Genomic DNA, 13408 nt, shown 5'->3' with positions numbered 1-13408 from the left:
TACTGGGTATATACCCAAAGGATTATAAATCATGCTGCTATAAAGACACATGCACACATATGTTTACTGAGGCAGTATTCACAATAGCAAAGACTTGGAACCAACCCAAATGTCCATCAATGACAGACTGGATTAAGAAAATGTGGTACATATATACCATGGAATACTATGCAGCCATGAAAAAGGATGAGTTCATGTCCTTTGTAGGGCCATGGATGAAGCTGGAAACCATCATTCTCAGCAAACTATCGCAAGGACAAAAAACCAAACACTGCATGTTCGCACTCATAGGTGGGAATTGAACAATGAGAACACTTGGACACAGGAAGGGGAACATCACACACCGGGGCCTGTCATGGGGTGTGGGGAGAGGGGAGGAATAGCATTAGGAGATATAGCTAATGTAAATGATGAGTTAATGGGTGCAGCACACAATTAACATATGGATACATATGTAACAAACCTGCATGTTGTGCACATGTACCCTAGAAATTAAGGTATGATAATAATAAAATAAAAGACTGAGACTGTCAGAGTGAACAACAACAACAAAACCCATGATCCACCTACATGTTGTCTACTGAAATCCTCTTTAAATATAAAATAGCAGGTAGATTTGAAGCGCTAGAGAAAGATATACCATGGTAACACTAACCAAAAAGAAAGACAGAGTATCTAAATTAATTTTAGACAAAGCCAACTGCAGAGCAAGGTAAATTATCCGAGATGAAAAAGGGCATTACACAATAATAAAGGGGTCAATATAACAAGAAGATATAATAATGCTTAATATGTATATACCTAGCAACAGAAGAGTCAAAATATATTAGGGGGAAACTGATAGAACTGCAAGGACAGAGAGACACATCCATTATTACCACTGGAGACTTCAACACCCCTCTATGAGTAAGTGACAGACTCAGCAGGAAGAAAATCATTAAGGATAGATTTGAACTGAACAGCACCATCAATCAACTGGATCTAACTGAATACTTTAGAATTCAATTAGCGTTATAGAATATTTTATCTAGACACTGCAGAATACACATTCTTCTCAAATACAAATGCACAATTCATTAAGTTAAACCACATTCTAGGCCACAGAACACTTTACCAAATTTAAAAGAATAGAAATCACAAAAGGCATGTTCTTGAATCAGAATGGAATTAAACTAATAATAGCAGAAAGAGAGCTGAAATATCCTCAAATACCAAAAAATTTAAAAACACATTTCTAAATAATAAAACATGGTGAAAGAGAAAGTCTCGAGAGAAACAAAATTTTTTAACTAAGGCAGTAATTAATAACCTTCCCAAACAGAAAGTACCAAGCCCAGATGATTCACTGGTGAGTTCTATCAACATTGGAGAAATAAATGATACCAATTTTCCACAATCTGTTGCAGAAAATAGAAGCAGAGTGACTATTTCTTAACTCATTCCATGGGCCAGCATTACCCTAATACCCAAACCAGCAAAACCTTACAAAAAAGTAAACTGCAAACAAATATCTCCCTTGAACATGGATGAAGCAATCCTTAAAAAATATTAGCAAATTGAACCAAACAATTTTTAAAAATAAACACCACAACCAAGTGGGATTTACTCTAGATATGCCTTTAACATTTGAAAATTAATTAATATAGTCCATCAGATCAACAAGCTAAAGAATAAAAATCATATGCTTCCAGTACTTTCTGCTCAATTTCTATGTAAACTTAAAATTGCTAAAAAATATAAAGCCTATTAATATAAGAAAACTGATGGAGCAGAATGGAAAAATAAACAGATCCACAATTATAGTACAGATTTCAAAATGTCTCTCTTAGCAACTGACAGAACTACTGGACAAGAAGTCAGCAAGGATATACAAGATCTGAACAACATAATCAACCAACAGGATCTCATTGAAATACATACAGAATACTCCACTTAAGAATAGCAGAATATACATTTTTTTTTCAAATGCCCATGAAAAATTTACAAGACAGACCATATCCCTGGGAGCCAAACAAACCTCAACGTATTTAAAAGAACTAAAATCACACAAAGTATATTCTCTGAGCATAATGGAATCAAACTGGAAATCAATACCAGAAAGAGAAAAAGAAAATCTCTAAACACTTAGAAATTTTTAAAAATACACTTCTAAATAAGCTACAGGTCAAAGAATATGCTTCAAAGAAATTTATTAAAATACTTAAATGAAAATGAAACTACATGAAAAACTAAATGAAAATGAGAATACAACATATCAAAATATGTGAAATGTAGGTAAAACTGTGTTGATAGGGAAAATGTAGCATTAAATGCCTACATTAGGAAAGAAGAAAGCCCTAAAGCCAATAATGTAAGTTCTTACCTCTAGAAACTAGAAAACAAAATTAACTCATACAAGCTGAAGGAAGGAGATAACAAAGAGAAGAGCAGATTTCAATAGAATTTGAAACAAAAATAATAGAGAAAATCATGAAATGAAAATCTAGTTCTAAAAAACAGTAAGATTGAAAAACTTCTATAAAGACTGACAGAGACAAAAAAAGATGAGACAAACTATAAATATGAGAAATTTAAGTGGATATCACTACAGATGCTGGAGACATCAAACGAATAATAAGAAAATACTATAAATAATTCTACACAAATCAACTTGACAATTCAGATTAATGGACAAATTTCTCAAAAAGTACAAACTACCACAATTCACCTAACATGAAATAGGTAATTTAAGTAATTGTAATTATTAAGAAAATTGAATTCATAATTTAAAATTACTGAAAAAAAAATCTCTTGGCCCAGATGGTTTTACTGGAGAATTCTTTTTGTTTTGTTTTGTTTTTGGTTTTTATTTTTGAGATGAAATCTCGTTCTGTTGCCCAGGCTGGAGTGCAGTGGTGTGATCTTGGCTCACTGCAACCTCTGCCTCCCAAGTTCAAGCGATTCTCCTGCCTCAGCCTCCTGAGTAGCTGGGATTATAGGTGTGTGCCACCACACCCAACTAATTTTTGTATTTTTAGTGGAGACGGGGTTTCACCATGTTGGCCAGGCAGGTCTCGAACTCCTGACCTCAAGTGATCCATCTGCCTCAGCCTCCCAAAGTGCTGGGATCACAGGCATGAGCCACCCTGCCGGGCCTTACTGGAGAATTCTACCAAATGTTTAAATAAAAATTAAAGTCAATTTTACATAATCTCTTCCAGAAAACAGGAGACTAGAGAATGCTACCAAATTCATTTTATGTAGGCAGTATTGTCCTGATACTGAAACCAGATAAAGACAATATGAAAAAAGAAAACTACATATCAATATCTCTTATGAATTTGAATGCAAAAATATTCAATAAAATATTAATAAATCAAACACATTAGAAATGTATTTTTTAAATTATACATTATGGCGAAATGGGAGTTGCTCTAGTTATGCAAAGCTGATTCAACATATCAACAGACAAAAGAAGAAATATAATATTTTAATACCAATTGACACAGAAAAGACATTTGACAAAAATCCAATGTCCTTTCAAAATAAAAACTGTCAGCCAACCAGGAATAAAAGGGAACTACCTCCACATAACATAGGAAACAAGAATGAATGCTTTTCCCCTAAGACAGGAAACAAGGCAAGGATGTCTGTCCTCACCACTCTAGTTCAACCTAGTATTGAAAGTCTAGCTACTGCAATAAAGCAAGAAAAATAAATTAACTCCCTACAGATTGACGAGGAAGAAATAAAGCTGACTCTACTTGCAGATGACATGATTTTCCATATAGAAAATCCCAAGGAATCTAAAAAAAAATTAAGTTCAAAAAAGAGCTTATAAGATTAGTATGAAACAATCATATTTCATATTCTAACAAGAAACATATGTAAACAAAAATTTAAAGCACAACAGCACTTACAATCAATCAAGAAACTAACTAAATGCCTAAGCATACTTATAAAACATATAATCTCTGGATGCTAAGAATTACAAAATGCTGAGGCAAGAAATCAAAGATCCAAATAAATGGAAAGATATCTCATGTTCATGGATTGGAAGACTCAAAACAGTAAAACACCAATTTTCCCTTCATTGAGCTATTATGTTTAATGTCATTCCCATAAAAATTCTAGCAAGATGTTTGTAGACATAAACAAATTTATTACAAAATTTATACAGAATGAGGCAAGCTACAGACTTAAACAATCTTGAAAAAGAAGAATAAAGCAGGAGGAATAACTCAACCCTGCTATACAGCTACCACGTTCAAGACAGTGTGATATTGGTGGAGGCATATAAATTAATGAAACAGATAAAGAATGCAGAAACAGACCCACCACACAAGTAAGTTCAACCAATTTTTAACACTATTTAAAATGCAATTCAATGCAGGAAGGATAGCCTTTTCAACAAATGGTTCTGGAGCAACTGAACATTCATAGTCAGAGAGAGTGAGAGAGAATCAACTCTCACATCTTATATAAAATGTGTCCCAAAATAGGGCATGGAATTAAAAGTAAAAGGTAAAACTATACAACTTTTAGGAAAAAAATTCAAAAATCTTTGGAATTGGAATTTAGGGTTAGGTAAAGAATTTTTAGAATTGACACGATGTGTACAACCCATAAAAGGAAAATATGATAAACTGAATCTCATCAAAATTAAAACTTTTGCTCTAAAAAATTCCAGTTAAGAGTCAATGAATAGGCAAGCAACAGAGTGGGAAAAAATATTCGCAAATCACATATCCAACAAAAGGCTAGTATCTAGAATATATAAAGAACTGAAAATTCAACAGTAACAAAACAAATCCAAACAATCCAATTAGAAAATGAACAACAACAAAAACACATTCACAGACATCTATCTCACTGAAAACGATATACAGATGGCAAATAAGCATATAAAACATGCTCAATATTATTAGACATCAGGGAGACACAAATTAAAACCACAATAAAGATATTACTACACAGTTATCAGAATAGCTAAAATAAAAAATAGTCACAACACCAAATGCTGATGAGCATGTGGAGGAAATGAAATCATACACTGTTGGTGGGAATGGTACAACCATTCTAGAAAACAATTTGGCAGCTTTTTATAAAACTAAGTATGCAATTACCATATATGACCCACCTATTGCACTTTGGGGCATTAATTCCAGAGAAATGAAAACTAATGTTCACACAAAACCTGTACACAATGTTCATAAAAGCTTTATTCATAATTGCCCCAAACTGTAAACAAACAACCCAGATGCCCTTCAATGAGTGAATAAACTCTGGTATATCCATGCCACCGATTGCTAATCAGCAATGAAAAGGAACAAATTACTGATATACACAATTATGCAAATGAATCTAGAGAGGATTACACAGAGTGAAAAAAACTCAACCACAAAGAGTACATACTATATATTTCATTTACATAACATTCTTGAAGTTTAAAAAAACCCATAGAAATGGAGAACATACTAGTGGTTATTAACGAGCAATAGAGCAATAGGAGGAATTCTTTTTTTTTTTTTTTTTTGAGACGGAACGGAGTCTTGCTCTGTCGCCCAGGCTGGAGTGCATTGGCGCCATCTCGGCTCACTGCAAGCTCCACCTCCCGGGTTCACGCCATTCTCCTGCCTCAGCCTCCCAAGTAGACTATAGGCACCCGCCACCACACCTGGCTACTTTTTTGTATTTTTAGTAGAGACGGGGTTTCATCGTGTTAGCCAGGATGGTCTGATTTCCTGACCTCGTGATCCGCCCGCCTCGGCCTCCCGAAGTGTTGGGATTACAGGCATGAGCCACCGTGCCCGGCCAATAGGAGGAATTCTTGTGCTGATGGAAATACTGTGTATCTTGACTGTATGGATGTCAAGATTCCGGCTGTGATATTGCACTATACTTCTACAAGATGTCACCTTGGGGTGGGGGAACTGCTTAACGGCTACTCGGGTTCTCTCTGTTACTTCTCACAAGTGTATGTAAATCTACAATTATCTCAAAATTTTTTTTAAATTATCTTTTCAAAAGAGGAGAAATAGGGAAATTCTCACTGATGGGAGTAGAATATTCCATTTCTTGTGTTATTTTAGCCCCTAGCCCAGTAGTTTCCAAAAGATCACCTGGGGATTTTTTTTTTAAACAATTCCAAAGCCAAGGCTACACTTCATTCAACAGCAATGAACTAACAAATAATTAAGTTTTGTAATGCCAACTTTAAAAAACTGGAGAACTGGGAAGGAGAGTTTCTTACTTACTGAACTTATGTAAGATATCTCATTTATAAAAGAAACCCCATGAGATCAGTACTACAGGGTCCATTTCATCAAAGAGGAAACAAAGTCTGAAAAAGATTAAGGAATGGCCTAAATTTCCACAACTGCTAAGTGACAGACTTAGCACTTGAACTTCAAACTTTGAATGCAACCAGACCTTTGCTCTTTCTACTAGACCAAATTGGCTGGCAGGCATCCAGGGGAGAGAGGGATCACCCTGGGAAGGGACCCAGATGCCGACTGCACAGGTCTAGCACAGTGGGTAAGATTTAAGAGTGTGAGGGCCGGGCGCGGTGGCTCACGCCTGTAATCCCAACACTTTGGGAGGCTGAGGCGGGCGGATCACCTGAGGTCAGGAGTTCAAGAACAGCCTGACCAACACGGTGAAACCCCGTCTCTACTAAAAATACAAAAATTAGCCGGGTGTGGCGGCACCTGCCTGTATTCTCAGCTATTCGGGAGGCTGAGGCAGGAGAATCGCTTGAATCCGGGAGGGGAGGGGGTTGCAGTGAGCAAAGATCGTGCCACTGCACTCCAGCCTGGGTGACAGAGAGGCCAATCCAGGCAGAGGAAATGGTCTGGCATATTCCAGGGGCTGATTGGCCAGACGGATTAGGGAAGGCAATGCAGGTATGGGTTAGTGGATCAGCGCAAACCACCTTCAGATGACAGTCATACACCACTTTCCAACTTAAAGATTTTGTATTGAAAATTTAAGAGTGAAATTTAATTTAAGTGGCTTTATTATGCTACCGACATACACTGTTTTTGTTTTTTTAAGACAAGGTGTTGCTCTGCTGCCCAAGCTGGAGGCAGTGAAGCAATCACAGCTCACTGCAGCCTGGACTTCCTGGGCTCCAGTGATCCTCCCACCTATATACTATTTGGGATTGCTAAAACTAAAAAAATGAAAGGCAAATTTCAGTATTTAACTATAATTAGCAATAAAGTGCTTTCAAGAAACTATATGGAAACTGTTGGAGAGCAGCGGTGAGTCCTGCAGGGGACTGTGGGGATTCTGGAAAGGAGGGGGAAGTTGGTCTTTAACTTAGGAGAAGACGGTTTTGATGCAGGCAGAGTTTCCAAAACATTACTTCCATATATGAAGATTAAGGTATACATTTCTCAAGATATAATTTCAAAAAAATGAGACACCCACTGACAAAAGGTTTTAATAACCCTAGTCATTATTTCATCCTAGACCACAGTGAAAGTGGCGGGGCTGAGGAAGGGCATATTCAGTTAATCTAAAGGGAGGAAACAAAGGTTCCAAGTAGATTTAGAGGAAGACTTTGAGAAGAGTAAGGAGGTTACCGGTTCCCACTGGTCTTCATGAAGAACTGTTAGACCCAGCCTGCCCTACAGCCATTATCTCCTCAGTGTGAACGGAAAGCTAAGGCATAAGTTATTAGCAAAATTTCCCTTGATTAAGAAAGGACAAGTCACTAGTCCTGCATATGAACGCGCTGAACGTCTCTCAATGGTCAGGAAGGCGCTCTTGAATGCTCTTTGGTCCAACCAAGAGCGCGAAGAGAAGGAGAGAGCGGTCAGGGCTTTGAACTAAGAGCCACGGGAGGGACCCTGGCCTTTTCTCCCTCAAAGGCATCTCGCAGCCCGAGGGCCGCGCCCCGGCCTCGTGAGCCCCTGTAGCCTCCAGCAGTGGCGCTTACCTTGTGAGTCCGGGCGCCGCGCTGTCCCGCAGAGCAGAGCCAGCCGCTGCCCTCAGCGCTCCGCCAGGTTCACCGCGGCCCGCAGCTGCCCCGCGCCCGCTGCGTACGCGAAGGACACAGCCGAGCGCGGGTGCCCACTGGGGGCACCTCGGAGGGTCACCGCGTCGGGGCCACCGTGCCGCACCACCGTCCACGCGGAGTCTGCTGAGCAGAAACGGGCAAAGGAGAGGCATCACTGGGCGGCAGAGGCCAGCAGCAAGAGGCAAAGCAGACCTGTCTTTTATGTGAATTAACGTTTAATTGAAATTTACATTACTGCATGTTTGCCGCGATTTGAGGAGTTGGACCTGTGTAACAATGTACTGAGCCAGAACTCAGCCTCTAAGAGAAAGCATATTGGAAGAACTGATGACCAAACTTTTGCGACGTCACGCCTAAAAATGTATCATGTAAGCAATGACTTTTTAGTTGTTAAAACCATTTTTTTATATCAACACAAGCATGGGGCCAAACTGTTACTACCTGGACCTTTATCTTTTTAAACTCATCTGCATTTTCCTCATCTGTATGTGCCTCTATTTCTTTCATTATCGAATAAATTTATAAAAGATACATATTGGGACGTTGTGACGCACATACTCACAGGTATGATAGGAAGCAGCTCTATTAAAATAAAGTGGTTTAATTATGTCAGCTTCTCCATCAGTGACCAAGCCCAGAGGAATCAGAGGCCTTGAGCTTCTAACAGCACTTTCCAGGCGGTGACCCTGAGCATCTGACTGCCTGCTGACATCATTTCTGATGTATCTCTGTCACTTGATTACTTATATTGTTTTGATGAAATAAAAACAAAATGACTCCACAATCTCAAAAGGGAAGAAGTGCATCTTGAGTTCTTTAGTGTTCCCAACAATGGACCTCCCACCAGACTTGAAGTCACTTTAATTCTACTATGCTGGTGCTGTCTGGTCCTTTAACCTCTAATAAGATATATTTAGAATAATGGACATTTTACATAAAAATTTTCCGAACTGGAGAAACGAAGAAACATTTGTATGGGGATTTTTTAAGAACTACGAAACAAAACAATGTGATACATTTTACCTTGAGAAATCACCCTCCCAGCCCTTCACATCTCAGGATTTTTCATGGCTTGGCTGCTAAATGGCTAAATGGCTTGTGCGTAAGACAAATTTCACAGCCTTACTGTTACTTACACATGCCTAACAACAGAGATCAGAGGAAAGAAGGAAAAGAAAACCAGCCATGCTACTGAAATATCTCTTTAGTCACAGAACCCATGGAGAGCAAAGGTGTGATATCCACAAATGAGCCACAAGTACAGAAAAAAAATCTGCAAATTTAAATAACGAATGCAATTTTAAATTAAATTATCACTCCACTCACTGTACTCACCAAAGGAGGCTCTAAGTGTGCCTATGGTAATTTCAATTCCATGGGTTCTTCCTTTAATATTGCTCTATTTTTTTATTTTAGATTTTTTATTTAATTTATTTATTTTTGAGATAAGAGTCTCGCTCTGTTGCCCAGGCTGGAGTGCAGTGGCGCTATCTCAGCTCACTGCAGCCTCTGCCTCCTGGGTTCAAGCAGTTCTCCTGTCTCAGCCTCACAAGTAGCTGGGACTACAGGCAAACACCACCACACCTGGCTAATTTTTGTATTTTTTTAGTAGAGACGGGGGTTTCACCATGTTGGCCAGGCTGGTCTTGAACTCCCAACCTCAGGTGATCCACCCGCCTTGGCCTCCCAAAGTGCTGGGATTACAGGTGTGAGCCACCACGCCTGGCCTCATTTTAGAATTTTTACAACCTGGTGTTACTCTGTGCACATCACCTACTCTCACCTTCAGAGTTTTCCTATCAACTGAATCAAATATAGAAAAACCTATGGAACACTAAGTTGGGCATTGAAGATGATCAACCACATGCCATTTTTGGCCATGTGTTCATGATTTGTTGTACAATGGGAGAGAAATGATGGTCCGGAGTAGTTCACATAGGCTGGTGGGCAGTATGATAGATTTGCAGTCACCCATGGTTAAGATGTAATCACAGAAATGCCCTCAGTACTGAGAAGGGAACTGTTGAGAATACATCTGTAAAACTTGTTTTTCTGAAGAGTAGAATAGTAACCAGGGACATTATAGGATATGCATTTGTGTTTATAAAATTCCACTTGACTCACTTCTCCTTATAATATCAGTAGTAAAAGACCCAAAGAAGGACACAGACCATTGTGGTTTCCCTAATTGCTCGTAATTTATTTCAATTGATTATAAGCATATTGGAACTGGAAAGGATCTTAAAGAGCATCTAATATAACCCTTATATTTTTCTTTTTCTTTTTTATTAGAGATAGGGTCTCCCTCTGTTGCCCAGCTTGGAGTGCAGTGGCACCTTCATAGTTTACTGCAGCCTCGACCTCCTGGGCTCAAGTGAATTGGACCTGAGTAGATTAATTATAACAGTGGCTAAATGTGGAAAGGGGTTCAGAGGTGTGGCTGAGTCAGAACACACTGGAGGCCGTCTCACCAGCCCAGAAGGAGGGTAACTGTAACACGTTGATACCTGTTCCACTCCTGTTGCTCAAATAAATATCCAACTTTGAAAATTAAGCTAATTTAACTTCATGATTTTGATTGGAATTAACAGTACAGATGTTCCTCAATTTATGATGAAGTTGCATCCGGATGAACTTATTATAAATTAAAAATGCATTTTAATACATGTGACCTACTGAACCTAGCTCAACCCAGCCTAACTTAAATGTGCTCAGAACACTTAAATCAGCCCACAGTTGGGCAAAATCATCTAACACAATGCCTATTTTACAATAAAGTGTTGAATATCTCATGTCATTTATTAACTACTGTACTGAGAGTAAAAAAAAAAAATAATAATAATGGTTGTGGCCAGGCGTGGTGGCTCACGCCTGTAATCCCAGCACTTTGGGAGGCCGAGGCAGGCGGATTACGAGGTCAGGAGATCGAGACCATCCTGGCTAACATGGTAAAACCCTATCTCTACTAAAAATACAAAAAATTAGCCGGGCGTGGTGGCACATGCCTGTAGTCCCAGCTACCGGGGAGGCCGAGGCAGAAGAATCACTTGAACCCGGGAGGTGGAGGTTGCAGTGAGCCGAGATCGTGCCACTGTACTCCAGCCTGGGTGACAGAGCAAGCCTCTGTCTCAAAATAATAATAATAATAATAATAATAATAATAATAATAATAAAATAATAGTTGTATGGGTACTTGAAATAGGGATGCATATGGTTTCACATAGGGAAGTCGCAATATTGTAAGTAGAACCATTGTAAACGGGGATTGTCTGCACTTAAAATTTACTCAGTATATCATATGAAATCCCCAGCATCTGGTATACCCATTCCTATATGTCCCAGAAGAAAAAAGAAAATAAGATCCACTGTGTTCTGTTGTCAGGAGCATACATATTAAGGTTATCTCTTTTAGAGAACTGACCCTTTCATTTGTCTGAGAAAATCTTTATTTCTTCACTTTTCAAGGAGAAGGTTTTGTTTTGTTTTGTTTTCTCTCTTTCACACTTTAAGTATCTCACTGCATTCTTGCTGGCATGATTTCTGAAGAGAAGATGCTGTAATACTTATCTCCTATGTAGGTAAGGTGCTTTCTTCCTCTGATTATTTTTAAGAATTTACTTTTACCTGGCCTGGGCATGGTGGCTCATGCCTGTAATCCCAGCACTTTGGGAGGCTGAGGTGGGTGGATCACCTGAGTTCGGGAGTTGAAGACCAGCCTGACCAACATGGAGAAACCCTGTCTGTACTAAAAATACAAAAATTAGCCAGGCATGGTGTCACATGCCCATAATCCCAGCTACTCAGGAGGCTGAGGCAGGAGAATCACCTGAACCCAGTAGGCGGAGTTGTGGTGAGCCAAGATCGTACCATTGCACTCCAGCCTGGGCAACGAGAGTAAAACTCCATCTCAAAAAAAGGAGTTTACTTTTATCTTTGAATTCTATAGTTTGAAAATATATGCCTGGTAGAGTTTTGGGGGCATTTCTCCTTCTTTGGTGTTCTCTAAACTTCCTGGATTTGTGGTTTGGTGTCTGATACTAATTTGTGGGAATTCTCAGTCATTATTTCTTCAAATATGCTTCTGTTCCTTTCTTTCTTTCTTCTCCTAGAATTCTCTTTACACGTATGTTACACCTTTTGTAGTTGTGCCACTGTACTCAGATATTATGTTCTGGGTTTTCTTTTTGCAGGGGGTGGGGTTCAGTCTTTTTTTCTCTTTGCTTTTCAGTTTTGCAAGTTTCTATTGAGGTATCTCTAAGCTTAGGGATTCTTTCCAAAGCTGTGCCTGGTCTACTAATAAGCCCATCAAAGGCATTCTTCATTTCTGTTATGCTGTTTTTGATCTCTAGCACTCCTTTTTGCTTCTTAGAATTTCCATCTTGCTGCTTACATTGTTCATCTGGTCTTGCATGCTATCTACTTTACCCATTACAGCTTTTTCCATATTAATTATAGTTGTTTAAAGTCCTGGTCTGATAATTCCAATGTCCCTGCCATATCTGACTCTGGTTTTTGTTTGTTAGTTTTGTTTTTTGGTTTTTTTGAGACAAAATCTCGCTCTGTCACCCAGGGGGGAGTTCAGTGGCACGATCTCAGCTCACTGCAAGCTCCGCCTCCCGGATTCATGCCATTCTTCCTTCTCAGCCTCCCGAGTAGCTGGGACTACAGGCACCCGCCACTACGCCCGGCTAATTTTTTTTGTATTTTTAGTAGAGACAGGGTTTCACAGTGTTAGCCAGAATGGTCTCGATCTCCTGACCTCGTGATCCGCCTGCCTCAGCCTCCCACAGTGCTGGGATTACAGGCGTGAGCCACCGTCTGTTTTTAATGCTTGCTCTGTCTCTTCAAAGTGTGTTTTTTGCCTTGAACTTTTTTCTTTTTCTTTTTTTGGAGACAAGGTCTTTCTCTGTTGCCCAGGCTAGAGTGCAGTGGTGTGACCATGGCTCACTGCAGTCTCCAACTCCCAGGCTCAAGCGATCCTCCCACCTCAGCCTCCCAAGTAGCTGGGACTACAGATACATGTCACCATGCTGTTTTGTTGTTGTTGTTGTTGTTGTTGTTGTTGTTGTCACAATGCTGTTTTGTTGTTGTTTTTGTTGTTGTTGTTGTTGTAGAGGTGGGGGTCTCACTGTGTTGCCCAGACTGGTCTCAAAACTGGTCTAAGGCTATCTTCCCTCCTCAGCTTCTCAAAGTAATAGGATTATAGGTCCAGCTGAAATTTTTTCTTGATAACCAGATGTGATGTACCAGGTAAAAGTAACTGTAACTGCTGTAAAGAGGCCTGCAGTACTATAAGTAACATGTGTGGGAAGGGGAAAGGTTCTGTAGTCCTGTGATTAGGTCTGAGTCCTTTAGGGAGCCTGTGCCTCTGGGCTGTGACCTTCACAAGAGCTTCTCAGCCCT

At 39.4% G+C, this 13408-nt stretch overlaps 1 pseudogene across 1 annotated transcript in view; it reads right to left on the bottom strand.

Annotated features, from left to right (window-relative positions):
• The window catches only part of CNTNAP3P2 (CNTNAP3 pseudogene 2), a 237697-nt pseudogene that overhangs the window by 54921 nt on the left and 169368 nt on the right, over window positions 1-13408 (bottom strand). Inside the window, exon 13 of the transcript NR_111893.2 lies at window positions 7925-8128. The product of NR_111893.2 is annotated as a CNTNAP3 pseudogene 2 (transcript). The remainder of the gene's footprint in view (window positions 1-7924; window positions 8129-13408) is intronic.

The sequence above is a fragment of the Homo sapiens genome, chromosome 9 (genome assembly GCF_000001405.40).
Source record: "Homo sapiens chromosome 9, GRCh38.p14 Primary Assembly".
NCBI classification, from domain to species: domain Eukaryota; kingdom Metazoa; phylum Chordata; class Mammalia; order Primates; family Hominidae; genus Homo; species Homo sapiens.
The sequence above is the reverse complement of the archived record's forward strand: the minus strand, read 5'-3'. Positions and strand labels throughout refer to the sequence as shown.